At 41.4% G+C, this 19,686-nt stretch overlaps 1 long non-coding RNA gene across 1 annotated transcript; it reads right to left on the minus strand.

The window, feature by feature from the left end:
* Nucleotides 1-11,497: 11,497 nt before the first annotated feature.
* On the minus strand, nucleotides 11,498-18,911 carry LOC105371976 (uncharacterized). Its single transcript, XR_007066274.1, has 2 exons — nucleotides 17,302-18,911; nucleotides 11,498-11,764 (listed from the first exon to the last, which is right to left on the minus strand). It is a non-coding gene; the product is annotated as an uncharacterized LOC105371976 (long non-coding RNA).
* Nucleotides 18,912-19,686: the final 775 nt, after the last annotated feature.

Below are 19,686 nucleotides of genomic sequence, written 5' to 3' on the forward strand. Positions count from 1 at the left end.
GTCCTCCTGTACCATGTAAATATGGGAACTTAATTCTGGGTGAGGTGAGGAAGTTGTGGGTGCATTCTATGTCTAGAAGTGTCATTTAAAAGTATTTATTCTAGCTCTTATGTGAGGCATAGACTAGGGAAGGAAGAATGAAAGCTGAGAGACCAGAGAAGTTTGTTTCAGGAAGCCAAGAAAGAATGACGTGGTTTGGACTAGAATGATAGTAGCAGAGATACGGCCATATTTGAAGTGTGTTTTGGAGGTCAAGTTGGCAAAATTTACTAATAAATTTTATTTTAGCTGTGAGGGGGAAGATGGGTATCCAAAAATGATCACAAGTTTTCTGAGCAACTTGAAAAAATGAGTTGTGGATTACTCTGGAAGAAGCAGGTTTTGGGGGAAGTACACTAAGGATTCTTTCTGGGACATGTAAAGTTGAAGATGCCTGTTAAACATCCAAGTGGAGATGTCAGGTAGGAAGTTGGATATAGCATCTAGAGTTCAGGGAGATGGTATAGGTTGAAGATATAAATGGGGGAGTTGTCAGTTGCTATGATCTCCCCAAAATTTATATGTTGGAACTTACTCTCCAATATGATAGTATTGACAGGTGGGGCCTTTAGGAGGCGATTAAGTCATGAGGGCTCCACCTTCATGAATGGGATTAGTGCCCTTATAAAAGGGCCCAAGGGGGCTTGTTTGCCTTTTCCACTATATGAGGATTCAGTGAGAGGACACCATCTATGAGCCAGAATGAACCTTCACCAGGAGCAGCATCTGCTGGTGGTATGATCTTGGACTTCCCAGTCTCCAGAACAGTGAGTAATAAATTTCTATTATTTATAAGTTACTCAGCCTAACGTATTTTGTTATAGCAACCTGGATGTATTCTGACACCCACCTATAGTATTTAAAGCCACGGAAGTGAACAAGACCATTCAGGGAATGAATCTATGAAGAAAGGGGTCTGGCTTCAAATGGAGCCCCAGGGCAGTCTACCACTTAGAGGTCAAGAAGATGAGGAGGAATGCCAAGGAAAGAAACTTGAGAAGAAGTGGTGGGAGAAGACCCAAGAATGTGGTTTCCTGGAGGCCAAGTGAAGAATATGATTCAAGCAGGATGGAGTGGTCACTGTGTCATGTTTCCAAAAGGTCAAATGAGGACTGAGAACAGATCATTGGGCTTGGCACTGGGAGGACAGTGGTGACCCTCATCAGAACGGTCCCCAAGGAGCAGGGAGACCTGTTGGGACCAGGTTGAAGAGAGAACTCTATCAAGGTGTTTTACTGTAAAGGAAAGAAGAGAAAAGGGTCATTTCCCAGAAAAGAAGGGGGCAGGGTTCAAGGTGCTTTTTGTAGTGGGAGAAATTGTAGCATTCTTTTATGCTGATGAGAATGATCTAAAACAGAAGGAAAACCAACAATGGAAGAGAGAGAATAATTACCATTACAGGAAAAGACTCCCTGAATTGGCAGGAGGAAGTAGAATCCAGAGAATCACGGGAGGGTGTGTTAAGTAAATCAATTATGTCTTATAATTTGACAGATTACTTAGGTTTTGCTTCTTTTCATGTTTCAAGTTAACAGTGGAGTCTCTGGATGTTATCTATACCTTATCCCTATTTTTAACTAAATCGGATTTGTATCTAATGCTTCTTGTTGCAAATTATGGTGAAAAAAATTCATACTTTACGTACTTTAAAATGCCTGTTTGAGGGTAAGGGGTAGGGGGTTATGTGGGAGAGTGGAGAAGACTAATACATTGCAGGGGTGTAAATGTGGTTTAATTGGTTTTATAAGGGAATTGGATGGCTTATCTAGAGGTCTAATGGGATGGTTTTGAGGGCCCTAAATCATTGCTTTACACATACCACACCACCTTCAAAAGCCTTCCATAACTCTTACTGTGTAGTGAGGTTGTTTTAATCATGGACTGGATATTGTAGTCCTCAGTCTATCTCTGGAATCCTCCTGTACAACCTTGGACATATTCCAATTTCCTCATTTGTAAAATGGGGATGGTAATGCCTACTTGTCATGTTTGTTGTCATGATTAAATAATACAATGTGTGTAAACTGTTAAGCTAACATTGGGCCAACAGGATGTGCTCAGTAAACTTTAGCGAATACTATAACAGCTATTACTGACTTAGAGGACATTGTGGCAGCCTCTCCAGCGTTTACCAAAACCCCCGTGGTTTTGGTGGTACTGATTCTACTTCTAATTCCTGGGATAAACCCTGAAAGAATATCTTCACTATTTGGTTCAAGTAAGAAAAGTCTCTTTTTTCGTGACTAATAGAAAGGCCCCCTACTCCTTGGGGAGATATATTATATTAATATAATTAATAGAAAGGCCCCCCACTCCAGCAGAGATATATATTGTCCTGCAAGCATCTGGAAGCTATATTGCAACATGATTGGTGTCCACTCTAAGATGAAGTTGACATTTTGAAAGGCAGAGAAGAAATGGAAAGAAGCCAGCTCCATGATGAGTTTGAGTTACTAGTTTAAGCCAACATTTAAGTCAGTTATATGAGTTAACTAATGGTCCTAATATTTAAGCCAGCGTGTGTTGAGTTTTCTATCACCTATTGTTGTAGTCCATTTTGTGCTGCTATACCACAATACCTGAGGCTGGGTAATTTATAATCAACATACATTTATTGGCTCATAGTTCTGGAGGCTGGGAAGTACAACATCAAGGTGCTGGCATCTTGTGTGGGGCAATTTGCTGTTGGAAGGTTGAAAGGGCAAGAGCACAAGAGAGCAAACCCACTCTGGCCATCCTTTTTAATAATGCCATTAATCTATTCATAAGGGCTGAGCCCTCAAAACCAAAACACCTTCCATTACGCCTCACCTCCCAACATTGTCACAATGGGGATTAAGTTTCCAACACATGAACTCCAGGAAGCACATTTAAAGCATAACACCTATGTGTTGGAAAAAAAAAAAAAAGAACACAGACTTAAAGTTTAAGGTAAGATCCAGCTATTTACTAACAGCTAAATACTGGAGGGAAGGGGGAGCATTCACCATTCAGAAGCAAGGAGACTATTTAACTCCATTTCTTTGACTGGCTGCTAGGTTCAAAGTTTAGATCCACAAAATGGGAACGTGGGGAAGGGAAGGGAGTAGTGATAAAGACAATGGATTTTAAAAAAATATTTTTAACTTTTATTTTAGATTCAGGGGGTACATATGTAGGTTTGCTACATGGATGTATTGCAGGATACTGAGGTTTGGGGTTCAACTGATCCCGTCACTCTAGTGTTAAACATAGTACCCAACAGTTAGTTTTTCAACACTTGCCTCCCTTCTTCCCTCCCCCTACTAGTAGTTCCCAGTGTCTATTGTTGCCATCTTTACATCCATGAGTAACCAATGTTTAGCTCCCACTTAACAGTAAGAACATGAGGTATTTGGTTTTCCGTTCCCGCATTAATTCACTTAGAATAGTGGCCTCCAGCTACATTCATGTTGCGCAAAGGGCATGATTTTGTTATTTTCTATGGCTGCATAGTGTTCCATGGAGCATATGTACCACATTTTCTTTATCCAATCCACTGTTGATGGGCACCTAGGTTGATTCCATATCTTGCTATTGTGCCTAGTGCTGCAATAAGCATACAAGTGCATGTGTCTTTTTTGTAGAATGATTTATTTTCTTTTGAATATATACCCAGTAATAGGATTGCTGGGTCAAATGGTGGTTCTGTTTTAAGTTCTTCAAGAAATCTCCAAATGGCTTTCCACAGTGGCTGAACTAACTTACATTCCCACCAATGGTATATAAGTGTTTGCTTTTCAATGCAGCCTTGCCCGCATCAGTTGTTTTCCTGATGATGATGATTATTATTATTTTTGAGATGCAGTCTCACTCTGCTGCCCAGGCTGGAGTGCAGTGGCATGATCTCCACTCACTACAGCCTCTACCTCCTGAGTTCAAGCGATTCTCCTGCCTCAGCCTCCCTAGTAGTGGGGACTACAGGCGTGCACCACTATGCCTGGCTAATTTTTGTACTTTTAGTAGAGATGGGGTCTCACCATGTTGGTCAGGCTGGTCTCGAACTCCTGACCTCAAATGATCCTCCCACCTCGGCCTCCCAGCGTGCTGGGATTACAGACATGAGCCACTATGCCCGGCCTGTTTTTCTGATTTTTAAGTAGTAGCCATTCTGACTGATGTGAGACAGTTTCTTACTGTGGTTCTGATTTGCATTTCTGTGATGATTAGTGATGTGGAAAGTTTTATTTGTGTTTGTCATCCACTTGTATGTCTTCTTTTGAGAGATGTCTATTCATGTTCCTTGCCCACTTTTTAATGGGGTTAGTTGTTTTCTGCTAGTTGAATTAAGTTCCTTATAGATTCTATCCAGAATCTATAAGAATCTATAAGCATATTAGACCTTTGTCAGATGCATAGTTTGCACATATTTTCTTCCATTCTGCAGGTTGTCTGTTTACTCTGTTTATAGTTGCTTTTGCTGTGCAGAAGCGCTTTAGTTTAATTAGGTCTCGCTTGCCAATTTTTGATTTTGTTGCAATTGCTTTTGGGGACTTAGTCATAAATTATTTGCCAAGGCTGATGTCCAAAATGGTGGCCTCCAGGTTTTCTTCTAGGATTCTTATAGCATGAAGACTTATATTAAAATTTTTAATTCATCTTGAGTTGACTTTTGTACATTGTGAAAGGTAGGGGTCCAATTCCAATCTTCTGCATATGGCTATCCAGTTATCCCTGCACCATTTATTGAATAGGGAGTTCTTTCCCCATTGCTTATTTTTGTTAACTTTGTTGAAGACTAGGTGTGCACTGGTGTAGGTGTGCAGCTTTATTTCTGGGTTCTCTATTCTGTTGGCAATGGATTTTTTTTTTTTTTTTTTTTGAGACAGGGTTTCACCCTGTCACCCAGGCTGGAGTTCAGGGTGTGTTCATGGCTCACTACAGCCTTGACTCCCCTGGTTAAGGTGACCCTACCACCTCAGCCTCCTGAGTAGCTGGGACCACAGGCACATGCCACCACACCCGGCTAATTTTTTTTTTTTAATAAACGATATTTCACCATATTGTTCAGGCTGGTCTTGAACTCCTGGGCTCAAGTAATCCATTGGCCTCAGCCTCCCAAAGTGCTGTGATTACAGGTGTGAGCCACTGCACCCAGCCTGCAATGGATTTTTTAATCATAGTAACTCCTAAGAATATCTCGTCATAGAAAGGGGTTACAATACTGCAAAGTATTCTGTGGTGTTGAATATAGTTGTCAACTTAGAAAGCTAGTTTCAAGAGTGCTGAGAAACCCACTTGTCAACAAAGCCATAGTATTTGTCCAAGGAGAGTCAAACTCAAGGGTTCTAATGGGCTCACACTCTAGCCTTTTCTCAAACTATGTGACATGTAACTGTCTATTATGGGGATGACTTCTTCTGCACCTGCAACCAAAAGAGCCTTCATGGATACACAGGATAAAGTTGAAACTCTCATCCATCTGTCTAGACCTGTCGTAGCCCCTGGGACAGGTGCAGGAATAAGATGACCAACAAAATCTCAATGCTCTGCCCTCATGGAGCTCATGATCTACTGGAAAAGATGGATATTTCAATTCTAGGTCTCACAAATCAAGGGATCATACACACAAGTGAAAATGTTAAACCAGTGATAAGTGCCATGGGAGAAAGTCATGTGTTGCAATAGGAGCACATAAAGGAGTCCTGGTCTCTTGTGTTAGTGGAGTGTCACCAACCTTTTGTCCCTCATCCTTCTCCATCTAGCTGGGTAACTTGCTACTGAAGATTTCATTAGCTATTAATATCATTACTGAGTTGTCAGTAGAAACCTTGAGGTAAATCATTAGTAAGTCAATTTCACTACTTGTGAGCAGCTCTGTTGGTTTGTTTGTTTAAATCTAGTTGGGAAGGCTAATGTCTAATAGAACTTGATGTATATTGGTTTATTCAGTGGTTAAAATATAAAAGTATTGCCAAAAGTATGGGGAAACTGGCATACTTATGCAAATTTGGGGAAGAGAGAATCTTACACAATTAATTTGGAAGATTATTTGGCAATAACAAAACCGTGTGTGTGTCTGTGTGTGTGTATATAGTCAGGTACTTAGTTTCTCCCATTTTCTATTTGTAAAGTGGAGGTGCTGCTCACAGTGCCCACCTGGTAGGGGTAAATAAATCTACATGTGTAAAGGAAGCGCTCACAACAGTCCTCTTATAACTTTATCTTAGCTGGTTTTCTTACATCATTATTCTGAAAAAAATTTTTGTCTCATGTTGTAATTTTCCTTAGGAAATTATTTTTTTGAATAGGTATTACATGAACATGGCAGAAAAGTCAAAAGTTACAATAGAGTATACAGTGGAAAGTAAATTTTCCTCCCTCCCCAGCAACCACCCAGTTCCCCCTCCTCGAGGCAACCAATATACATGGATAAATGGACAAACGGATAGATGAACAGATGGATGGAAGGATAAATGCACACATATATAATTTTTTGCTTATGTTATTTTTCCAATAGAATTAAAAAAATATTCTCATCTCATGAAGAACAAGAAGGGAGGAAGAGGAGGAGGAGAATAGGAGGAGGAAGAAGAGGAGAAAGGAGGAGGAGAAGGAAGAGGAGGAGGAAGAGGAGAAAGGAGGAAGAGGAGGAGGAGGAGAAAGAAGAGGAGGAAGAGGAAGAGGAGAAGGAGGAAGAGGAGGAGGAGGAGAAAGAAGAGGAGGAAGAGGAGAAGAAGGAAGAGAGGGAGGAGGAAGAGGAAGAAGAACAGGAGGAAGAGGAAGAGGAGAAGAAGGAAGAGGAGAAGGAGGAAGGGGGAGGAGGAAGAGGAGGAGAGGGAGGAAGAGGAGGAAGAGGGGGAGGAAGAGGAGGAGAAGGGGATGATGGTGGTAATACCTGGCCAGATCTTTCCTTTTCCTGGCTCATGGAGTCTCTGAGAAATGGAGGAGTGATCTCTGGCTTTCCAAGGCATACCCTATAAAGGTTGGGGGCTCACTCTTGTGTAGAGCCTTCCCATCCTGTCTAGTTACCTCATGACTTGGGGAAGATGGTTATACAGAATCCTCAAAATCTCTCTCAAGACAGGATTTCAGTGTGGCACATCTAGTGAGTTCCCCTGTCCTGGAAAGGTTCAAGGTTCTGAATCAATATTTTTAAATCCATAACATGGAGTTTCTTTCTTATTACAAAAATAATAGGTGCACATTACCTTTTTTAAAAGTCAGAAAACATATAAAAGGATAAAAGAAAAAATTTATTCATAATCCTATGATTTATATAGTTTAATCCTTAAATATTACTATGGCTACTGAACTAATAATTTAAAATAAACTAAAGCAAATTAAACAGGAAAGTTAATATCATATCTAAAAATCACAATACAAAAAAAGGATTGGAAAATGTCTCAAATGAATACAGGCATTATTCTAAATAGTTTCTAGGCCAGGCGCGGTGGCTCACACCTGTAATCCCAGCACTTTGGGATGCCAAGGCAGGAAGGTCACGAGGTCAGGAGATCAAGACCATCCTGGCTAACATGGTGAAACCCTGTCTCTACTAAAAATACAAAAAAATTAACTGGGCATGGTGGCGGGTGCCTGTAGTCCCAGCTACTCGGGAGGCTGAGGGAGGAGAATGGTGTGAACCCAAGAGGTGGAGCTTGCAGTGAGCCAAGATCGCGCCACTGCACTCCAGCCTGGGCGACAGAGCGAGACTCCATCTCAAAAAAAAAAAAAAATAATAAATAAATAAATAAATAAATAAATAAATAAATGAAATAATAATTTCTAACATTTTTAAAGGTGGGATTTCAATATGATATTTGGATTAACTTAAGTTTCCTTTATCCTGTAGCTTTTCTTGACCTGGACATAAACATTTGGAAAGTGATAAATATATTCCTTGAGGGATGAATTTTAAAGCAAATCACCTATGCCAAATAATTTATCGTGTGTGAAAACTAGTCTCAGTATTTAATTGCTGGCATTTTGGTTTGTTGCTCTCGTTGCATAAGTTACGCACAGTGTTTGCTCCGGTTCCTTTGTCTCTGCCTCTTTTAATTCCACAGTCAGAAACTAAGATTGTCACTTCACAGGGAAAAAGAAGACAAGGAAGTAAAACCACAGTAGTACAGAGTCCATTATTTGAAAAATGTGATTAAGTGTAGACAGGGGTTGATTTTCTTCAACAAGTCAGTTTTCTTTTACTGTTAGTATGAATTAAAAGCTTAATCAACATAAAATGCTTAAAATATTTATAAAAGCAAGCTTGCCTTACATATTTTTGGAGTCATATAACTTGTTTGTTCATTAAAAAACAACCATTTTTTAATCCTAGTTGTGCTATGCGTAATATTTACCTTCAGATATTAAAATCATTTAAAATAAAATCCTTTGTTTTTTTCTCTGAACTAGTCCAAAATAGTAAGATGTTACTGTATTAAGCTTTCCAGGATATTATTGACTGGAAATACTTCTTTTTTTTCTTTATAGCTTTCGTATCTACCTTTTTCTTTTAATCACACAAAAATATGTGTCTTTGGGTGTGGTGGCACAGATGTGTAGTCCCAACTACTCAGGAGGCTGAGGCAGGAGGATCACTTGAGCCCAGGAGTTCAAGTCCAGCCTGAGCAACATAGTGAGACCCCACCATCTCAAAAAAAAGTGTCCATTATTTTTAAAGTTAAAATTATAACTAAGTTTTAAAACATTTAAAAGATGTGAAGATCTGAACTTGAACCATAGGTGTGTGACAAAGTAGAGATATTTATAAGGAATATCCCTTTTAAATTTCAATTTATTTTCCAGGATTTAGGCAGTTAAAACACACAGATTTATCTCCAAATTTATTTTATTTTAAAATGATTGCACGTTGACTGTGACTACCAAAGTCGCTATTAGTTTTCCTCTCTGTAACCAAATAGAAATAACTAATTCAACCCGCAAGCTGAACTATTCCTAATTAGTCAGAAACAAGTGCTTTTTAATTCCATTTGTAAAATGTCCAAGGGAAAAGAGTCCCAGTTTGCCTGAATAATCTGTTACTAAATTTCCTCCCTGCTCTTAATAGCTCTACCATAAAGAAGCCCTTCATTACAGTTCATTCAAATCTCTTAAGCCATAACTTTTAACCCCGTTTCTTCTCCCGGGATTGGTTGTGTTGAATTTATTGCCTTTGATTTTCACTTCTATCAAGACATGTGGATTGATTTATAGGTTGCTTTAGCTTCTTCCTGTATGATAGCAGTCATCAACCCGTGCTTATTTGTTCGGTAGGGACAATTATTTCAGCTCCATATGTGCCATACACATTCACAAATTCCACTTTTAAACTCAGTTTCTAAAATGGTTACGACCAGTAGGCCTACTTTTCTGGTAAAAATTCGTAAACCCTTGTAAAAATTATACAAGAAATACTCAAATACATTCTTACTGTAAAAGATTCAAAAATATAAAGTGTGTAGAATAAAACACTAGAGCATCCTTTCCTCTCCCCCACCCCATTTCATTTCCAATCCTTTCACTATGTACATTTTCTGTCCAATTCCTAGACATTCTGTCAGCGTGTTTTGAATTTTTTCCTCCCCAGACTTGATTAGGCCTTATTTTCTCTGTGTAGCACTGGAAGAAATGCAGATTCATAGACTCAAACAGACAGTTAAGCATCCGTCAGAAAAGACTCTTACATCTTCCTATGGAGGCTGGGCACTCGGGTCTAGCAGCTGCTTTTTTTTTTTTTTTTTTTTTTGGATGCAGAGTCTCGCTCTGTAACCCAGGCTGTAGTGCAGTGGCGCGATCTCAGCTCACAGCAGTCTCTGCCTCCCTGGTTCAAGCGATCCTCCTGCCTCAGCCTCCCCAGTAGGTGGGATTACAGAGGCCTGCCACCACGGCCGGCTGATTTCTGTATTTTTAGTAGAGAAGGAGTTTTGCCATGTTGGCCAGGCTGGTCTCGAACTCCTGACCTCAGGTGATCCACCCGCCTCGGCCTCCCAAATTACTGGGATTACAGGCGTGAGCTACTGTGCCCAGCCAAGTAGCTGCTATTTGATCCAGACTTTGTGTCATACCTAAAAGTAACATAAAAACATAAGAAACAGCATCTCGAGTCATATCGCTGCTTCATTGCATTCGGTGTCCAGCCTGTGGTAACTGGACTAGGACTCACTCATACAGAAAGGCATGATAGCCGTCCTCAGGGAAGCCCCACCCACCTCCCCAAAAGATCCTTTCTCAGCTTCCATTATCCTTGACATACTTGTTCCACTGAAATGCTCTTTCGTAGCGCTGAGTGACCTTGGGAACTTCACATAACCTCAGGGGCCTCATTTTTATCAGGTATAAGTCAGATTTCCTAAATCTCCTCCATGCTTCTACATGTTCTTATAATCCTTATGTTCCTCAAGTGAAAGGTTAAAATATGACAATGATATTATTAATAGTAAGAATATTCAAAAACACACATTCAAAAACGCAGTATTTTCCCCTGGGAAATTTTTTGCCTTGTTTTCGTATTTAAAATATTAATCAAGAGACGTCGACACCAATGGCTATCTGACATTTGAAATCCACAGCCTAGAACTGAATTCCTATTCTGGGGCTGGAGAGAACCGAGGAGTCTGCGCTAGGCTGTAAAGCCTCAGTCAGGGACTGCAACAACCAAGGGGAGAGGCTGGATCCTAGCGGAGGAGAAAAGCAAAAGGTCAAAGTTAAGAAAAAATAATCAACCGGCCAGGCGCAGTGGCTCACGCCTGTAATCCCAGCACTTTGGAAGGCCGAGGTGGGCGGATTGCCTGAGCTCAGGAGTTCGCGACCAGCCTGAGCAACACGGTGAACCCCCATCTCTACTAAAATACAAAAAATTAGCCGGGCGTGGCAGCGTGGGCCTGTAGTCCCAGCTACTCGGGAGGCCGAGGCAGGATAATTGCTTGAACCTGGGAGGTGGAGGGTGCAGTGAGAGGAGATCACGCCACTGCACTCCAGCTTAGGCGACAGAGCCAAACTCCGTCTCAAAAAAAAAAAAAAAAGAAAAAAAGAAAATCAGCCAGGTCCCACAGGTGAGGCAGGGTCTTAAAAGAGAAAGAAAATCACACCTCAAAAAAGACCAGAAACAAACTGGGCATGGTGGCTTGTGCCTGTAATCCCAGAGCTTTGGGAGGCCAAGGCAGGAGGATGGCTTCAGACCAGCAGTTTGAGACCAGCCTGGTCAAGATGTTGAGACCCCCATCTCAATAGCAAAATTCTTAAAATTTGCCAGCTATTGTGGCATGCATCTGTCGTTCAAGCTGTGTGGGAGGCTAAGGCAGGAGGATTGCTTGAGTCCGCCCAGGAGTTCAAGGCTGCAGTGAGCCTCAAAAAACCAAAAAAAAAAAAAAAACCAAAAAAATTAGAAACAGACTAGGGATATCAGACCAAGGAAGAAAGATAGTGCCCCAGTAGACAATACTAGACTGGCTGAGGTCTGTGTTGGTTATCTATTGCTGTATAACAAATTACTGCAAAATTAGCTGCTTAAAGGAGCAAATATTTATTTTCTTATATGCTGTCTGAGGGTTGGGAATCTGCGATGACCCGGCTGGATGGTCTGGGCCAGGGTTTCTCAGGCTGTTGGCTGAGGCCATACTCTCTGAATTCTTGACATCGGGCTGGAGGATCCACTTGCAAGCTCACTTGCAAGGCGTTGGCAGGAGGCTTCCTCTCCACACGGCCCCCACTGTTGGTTTGCTCACAACATGGTTTCCCCAAGCAGAGACATCTGAGCATGAGACTGCTAGACAGAGACCAAAATGAAAGCAACAGTGTCTTTATAATGGAATCTCAGGAATGACAATCACTTTCTCTAAATTCTTCTGGTCACCAACACCAACCTTAGCACACTGGGGCCATCTTAAGGGCTGGCTACCACGAGTCCCGGGTTGCAGCCTATCTGTTTGGGAACAGCTTTATTGACATTAAGAAAAGGAAAACTCAGTGTGGACTTACAATATGAACAAAAGCTCCACAGAGTGTGAGCAGCTGAGCTCAGGCTTAAAGGTAACTAGTGCTGGGGGCGGCAAACAAGGGGAGGCAGATGGGATTATCTGCCTGAAAAAAATCAACAGAACAGAGCAGGAGTTGTCAAACTTCTTCTGTAAAGGACTAGATCATATACTTAAGGCTTTTTGAGCCGTATGGTCCCTGTTGCAATTACCCAACTCGGCATTGCAGTATGTAAGCAGCCATAGACAAAATATAAATGGATACGCTGGCTGTGTTTCATTACAACTTTCATTTGGCTGGGTGCGGTGGCTCATGCCTGTCATCCCAGCACTTTGGGAGGCCGAGGTGGGTGGATCACAAAGTCAGGAGTTCGAGACCAGCCTGGCCAATATGGTGAAACCCCGTCTCTACTAAAAATACAAAAATTAGCTGGGCATGGTGGCAGGCGCCTGTAGTCCCAGCTGTTCGGGAGGCTGAGGCAGAAGAATCACTTGAACCCGGGAGGCGGAGGCTGCAGTGAGTCGAGATTGTGCCACTGCACTCCAGCCTGGGCAACAGAGCGAGATTCCATCTCAAAAAAAAAAAAAAAAACAACTTTGATTTATGGACAGCGAAATTTGAATTTTATATAATTGCCATATATCACAAAATAGTATTTACTGGATTCTTTTGTACCATTTAAAAATGTGAAAGTTATTCTTAGCTTACATGCCATACAAAAATAGACTGTAGCCAGATATGGCCTGTGGGCTGTAGTCTATGGATTCTGGAAGCAGAATGAATGTGGATGGCCAAAGCTAAAAAAGACCTGATTGAAACAGGAGCCATATAGCGAAGTGCTGTTTTTCAAGATAAGTTTTAACCATAATAATGTGGTGAATATTTGATGCTCTTCATCAAGTAATCAATCAAAATATGTAAAGTCCCCTAAAATCGTTTATAAGCAACTTTAGGGGTGTTTCAGGAAATGGAACCAGACCGGATATGAGGTTTAATCAAAAATTGTATCATCTTCTAAAAACAAAATTCCAGATTTTTTAAAATAAAAATGCTATTGAATATTTCATTTGATAATATTTGCTTGTTGAAGAGTTTTTCATTTTTTAAAAAAATAATTAAAAACTAAATTGACATATAGAGTAGTGCCCTCTTATCTGTGATTTTGCTTTCTGTACCTTCAGTTACCTGAGGTCAACCACGGTTGGAAAATCTTAAGATACTTTGAGAGAGAGAAAGAGAGAAAAACCACACTCACATAACTTTTATTACAGTATAATGTTATAATTGTTATATTTTATTATTATCGTTGTCAATCTCTCATTATGCCTAATTTATAAGTTAAATTTTATCATAGGTATGCATGTATAGGAAAAAAACAGTATATGTAGGGTACCATACTATCCAAGGTTTCAGGCATCCATGGGGAAGGGTCTTGGAACATATGTATCCCTGAGGATAAGGGGGAATGGGATTACTGTCATTAGGAGAATGTATGTAATTTGGCTAAAACAAAGAAAGCCACAGGATTTGAGATTAAGAATAAATATTTAAAAGGCTGAAGTTTTGAGACCAGTGTGATTCCCCAACAATAAAGACTTTTTGAATTCCTGCATCAACCTTAGTAGAATTCTAAGTAACAAAATGGCGAAAGGATTCACTGATACAAGTTGTTGTGATGGCTTGGGCAGAAAGTTAGTGATATCTGAACTCCTGCTCTTTTGAATTTTGTTTTATCCGTTAAAAAGATGAGAAATACAATAGAGAAAACATTATGCATGTTATTTGTATTTCCCAAATTGGAAAAAAAGTAAATCAGTTTCTTTTAATGACGTCCTATAATTCATTTCCAGAGCATATTGAATGTAAGTCTTTTCAATATCATCTCAGGGCAGTAACCAAACTCCTGTGTAGTATTGAAATGGGAGAGTTCCCTGACCTCCCTCACAGGACATGCGGTGGGTGTGGCTTTGTTTGGCCGCTGTGCACTCAACCCCTTATGGGAGGGGGAGCACGCAGACGGGCAGGTGCAAGAGCCAAGGGGAGCACTTTTGGGCTCTGGCCCCACTGTAGCATCTAGGGGTGGATGCCTGCAACTCCCAAAGCCCCAGTGGATGTATTACAGTGCTCTTTTAGCTCTGCCATCCACAGACGGCTTAAGTATTAACCAACTCAGTGCCCTCTTGGTATCCAGGTCCTTGTCTGGCATCCAAGAAGAATTGGGTCACACAGACAAATTGAAGGAGGGCAAATGTGGGGGATTTTAATGCCAGATGGAGGTGGCTCTAAGCAGGATGGATGGGGAGCTGGAAAGGGGATGGAGTGGGAAGATGATCTGCCCCTGGAGTTTGGTTGCCCCATGGACAATCTCCTCTCCAACCGTCCCCAGCCAAATTACTCTCAGCTTTCAGATGCTCCTTCTCTTCTCTCCTTCTCTGCTGTGCTGCTCTTCTGCTCCTCTGCTCTTCTGCTCATGGAGCCTGGGGTTTGGGGTTTATATGGGTGCAGGATAGGGCAGGTCAAAAGGCAACATATGGATGCACAAACAGGAATGGCTGCTCCCATTTAGGGCTGAGGGTTTCCAGTGTTGGGGGTGGGGCCTTTCCCAGGGAACCACCCTCTTCTACCCAGTATTTCCTTGCCTCCTGTCCATAGCAGTATCTTCCTTAACTGCTGATGGTCTCAAAGTACAAAGTTCTCCAAGTCATTCTCAGAGTAGACTGAGAAGTATTCCTAACTGGCGAAGTCACCACACACTGATGCCACCCCATTTCTCAGTCTGGATCCATCCTGATTCATCTATCCATTCAAACATCTACTATTGAGTTTTTGTTATTTTCCCAGCCCTGGGCTCAGTAGATATGATTTTGTAAGAGCTTAGACATTTGAACAAGGAAAAAAAAGAAAATTTGAACAAGGAAATGAGACATAAATGCATAAACTGTTAAATAATACAAAATAGCAAATGATTAAGTGCTAGAACAGATACTAGGGACAATAATTGTTTAAATGTTCAGAGAAAGAGAATACTGAATGAATTATCTGAATATGGTTTAGGGGAAGATGAGACTTGCAGCGGGCTCTAAAATATGAGCAAGGCAAATTCTGTGATTTAATTTGCTGTGACAGAGAGGTGAGAGCCTTCTATGCTGGAGGAAGATGCTTCTCTCATCTTCCTCTCTCTTCTTCCAGGGTGAGAGCATCTATCCAGGGCAAATAGGATCTCATCTCAGCAAGGCTAATCTCAGCAAGAGCCCCTCATCCCACATAAGGTTTTCCTCAGTTGTACAGCCTGAGAAACTCAATTCATCAGTGTGCTTTGACATTAACACAAATAAAATACAGTGTATTTTTTCATTGCCTTAATCTTTGTGGTTTTTAAATGTAACTAACAGCCAAAGCCCAATAGCACATCCTTCTACTGATTAATAAATGAACCCCATGTTTGTTTTATAGATATGTCTGCTAAGTAATAAATCTGTGTCATTAAATTAGGGGGAAAACAGAATTTGGAAAAGTACTTTTAATGGTTGTTGTTTAATTACCCCAATCAGGGTGTTGCATTATAAGGAAAATACATTTCTCATAGCTGTGCACCATTCTTAATTCAGATAATCTGTGCTCACAGGTGGACAAAAGGACCGTTTAGATGTGAAGCCTGGTGTTGTTCTCCCTTTTGACATCCAGCAACCTGGCATGATATCTCAAAGACGTGAGATGAAGAGCTGAGCCAGGGCAGAGGACTCTGATCATAAAACTGCATGATCCTTGTCAGTTATCAGAAGCTGTTTTAGTTGGAGAGGCTATTGGAATACCCTGGGGAAAATCCTCTGATTCTTTATTAATTTCATTTTGATCAGAGGACACCCTGCTCTATAAACCAGTTTCCTTCTTATGATGGAGCACAATTAGGAAGAAAATAAATGTACTCTTTGAAAGGAAGATCATGAGAAGGGACACTCCCTTGCGTGAACTGCTAACAAATCCATTAGAGAGCTGATAAAAGCTGGCACTTTTTTATGATATCTGAGCTGGGATGAAGTATGGCAAGATGGGCACTTCTATGTCATCATGGTATATGACGCTCTCAATTTTCCCACTCCAGCCTGTGAAGCCATTAGCCAAATATCCTCCATCTCATTCCTCTTTCTGCCATGTTTTGACCTCTGGGAAATTAGGTCTGTTAAAACTTTCAGACATTTGTCAAAATGATAGTTCTGAACTGATTTAGATCAGGAAAGATGCATATAATTTTAAAGGATTTCTTTTTCATGTGTGATGAATTTATCCATAATCTAACTCAATGGACAGAAGGAGCACTCATCCTCAAATAAAGAAAGAAACAATTTCACCTGTGGCATAAAATTTCTCTCTCTCTCTCTCTCTCTCTATATATATATATAATGCATCTAACTGCATAGCAAAGAAGCTTATACAAACTTAGTTCCTCTTTTAGGAGATGCCCATTCTGAGTGGAAACCATATAAATGAAACAGGAACTTTAGCATGAAAGTAATAAAACAATACATGAATATGCGCTGCCTTATTTGCATCAAATTCAAGTTAAAAATGATTTAAAGATAGCGATATCTTTATCTTTAAATCACTTTTGACTTGACCATATGGGGTAGGACTAGGAAAGTTGGGGGGTGCAATTTCAATTCTAGTCGGGAAGAAGTCTTAAACTTTTTCTAATCGATGCAGATTTTCACTGAACTGCATACCTAAAACAACAAGTTATCATTTGAAATGACCCTTTGTGGATAGGGCATTTCTTAGAAATAAAGAAGACATTGGGATTTAGAAGGAGTCAGAGCCCTGGGCTCTGTTGTCCATGGAAGCCCTAGGCTTGCCCCAGGGACTCCTGGGAGCTGTGCTGCAGACTCGGTAGACTTTAGGACTTCCTCTGTCAGTGAAGGTCCACACAGCACAGGCCAGGGGAGACTAGCGCCTAAGCTGGATTTGGGTGGTGATCCCGAGAGGCAGAAGTTAAGGAGGGAAAGTTTGAGGAACGGAAGGAATAAAAGCCAAAGCCAATGCAATGTATGTTATTGAGTTGTTTGCTGCTCTGGGCACCTGAGGCTCATGTCCCACTAGAAAACCCTTGAGGACCCATGCAGAAAAGTATCCCACCAAAACATAGAAGCCTGGACATTCTCTATCATTCCCATCACCTCTTGCTCTGGGGTTGCTTCTGAAGACATTAAATCCCTTTACTTTCCCAACCACATGTCCTCAGCTGAGTGAGCTAGTGCAACCTCAGAGAAAGTTCTGAAGCAGAAGGCACTGGAGGTCACATACTGCCACATACACAAGAACTGTCTGCCATACCTGCTGCTGAAATCAGGGTGGGTGGCAGGGCATGATGTGGGGCACCGCCCATGTCTGCTGGCCAATCTCTTGCAGATCTCAGCTCTACTTATGTCCACATTGGGTCGACTTTTTCACAGATTCACCCATCCTGGAGCACTTATGAGATGCCCCCATGAATTCCCTGGGTTCCAGATATGGTCCTCCAGGTTGCATAGTAGCAGGAACAATAAGTAGCTGTTCATGATAATAGAATTGATTTCCCATGTTCATATAGAAACTTCTTTTGCCTGCTGTTATCTCCTCTTGAAGAGACCAAATTGTCCAGGCTTCAGACTTGCTTTAGTTTCCATGGACATCTTACTGTGCCCAGGTTGAAGCAATGTTCTGCTGAGAACAAGAATTTTCTATCCATTGGAGCTTAGACTTGCAAGATTGGTGAGTCACTGTGAGTGATGTTGAAAGGGCCAATCCTTCTTTTACCCCTTAATTCTTGGACCCATGAAGTCTGACTGTCAGAGACACAACACTCTATATCAGCCAGTAGCTCAGTGCATAGACTCCATCCTGAAAGACAGCATCCCCAAGCTCACACCCTTTTGGAACCTTTACTATGTCATTCCAACATTCTTACTGCTTCCAGGTAATGGGAAGTATAAGGAGAACCACTGTATCTCATACTTCCTTTGCCATAAATGGGTCCTCTGAGGCAATACCGTGGAATCTGGAATCTGATGCCTATAAATGAAGCACTCAGCGCTCAAGCAGTAATGCTTGCAGATGTGCTGCAGGTGTGGAATGCAAACCCAAATCTGGTATAGATGGCAGTTCCATTAAAGATGAATCACTCCTCCTTCCAGGGTTGAGTGTACGTAGCATAACTTATCTGCCATCAAATGGCTGGCAGCTCAAATGTATCCAAAACAGGGCCCCTGATATTCTCCCTCAATCTTCCCCACCTCAGATAACGGCAACTCCATCCTTCCAGTTGTTCAGCACAAAAATCTGAGATAAACCTTGACTCCTCATTTTTCCTCATGTTCTACATCCAACCTGTAACAAATCACGTTGGCCCGGCTTTCAAAATATATTCAGAACATGGCTTCTCCTTCTCCATGGCCACCATCCCAAACTTACCCTCATCCACTTTCACCTGGATAGCATCTTAGTTGATCCTGTGCTTTTGTCCTCAGCCTGTGGGAGTCTATTTCCATTTGTTTCCTGTTAAAACAAATCACAGCATGTAATTCCTTGGTTCAAAGTCTTCCAATGGCTCCCAGTCTCAGAGAAAAAGCCAAAGTCCTTACAAGGGCATATATCCCTAGGTGATGAGTCCTTGTGGAAGACAGACTGTAAGGTGGCCTCATGATCCTCTCTCCTGGTGTTCATGCTGCTGTGTGATCCCCTTCCTTGAGTGTGGGTGGAATCCATGGCTGCCTTCTAACCAATAGAATACAGCAAAATGATGGTGGTTACTCTTTTGATTACATTATCTACCATTACCTCTTGCTAGCAGACTCTCTCCCTCTCTTGCTGGCCTTAAGAAAGCAAGCTGCCATGTTTTTATCTGCCTATGGAGCGGGCCATGTGGCAGGAAATTCTGTGCAGCCTCTAGAAGCTGAAGGTGGCCTCTGGCTGACACCCAGTAAAACAATCTTAAAGCTCTCAATTCTATAGCTGCAAGCAAGTGAATTCTGCCAACAACATGAATGAACTTAGAAGACAACCTTCCCTGGTTGAATCTCCAGTGAGACTGCAGCCCACTCTACATCTTGATTGCAGCCTTGTGAGACCTGAGCCAAGGGCCCTGTGATGAATCCCTGACCCATGGAAACTAAGACCATAATCAATGGGTATTGTTTTGAGCCTCCCAGTTTGTGGTAACTGATTATGCAGTGATAAATAACTACTGCAGTCCTACTACTTCTCTGATCACATCTCCTTCCACTCTACCCTTTCATCCACTCTGCTTGAGCCCACAGGTCTCTTTGCTGTGTCTCAAAAGAGCCAGGCACATGCCCATCACAAGGCCTTTACATTCTTGTGTTCTCTCAGCTTGGAATGCTCTTCCCTCCGATGTACACATGGTTTTGTACTCACTGATTTCTTGTTTTCGCCCAAAAGCTATCTTATCAGCAAGCCTTCCCTGGCCACCTTATCTAAAATTTCCCATCTCCCTCTCTTTTCATTACTTTCTTCCCTCCTTTATTTTTTTGCCTTTAGCATTTATCGTCCTCTAACTTACTATATATTTTAATGATTTCTCTTGCTTATTGTCTATTTTTCTCTCACTAGAATGATAGCTCCACCAGAATGGGGATTTCAGTCTGTTATGCTCCCTGTTGTATTTTGTGCCCAGTGAGTCCAGTCAGTGTGGTTGTGTGAGTCTTTGCTGCCACACTGAAT

This window comes from Homo sapiens, chromosome 18 (genome assembly GCF_000001405.40).
Source record: "Homo sapiens chromosome 18, GRCh38.p14 Primary Assembly".
Lineage (NCBI taxonomy): Eukaryota > Metazoa > Chordata > Mammalia > Primates > Hominidae > Homo > Homo sapiens.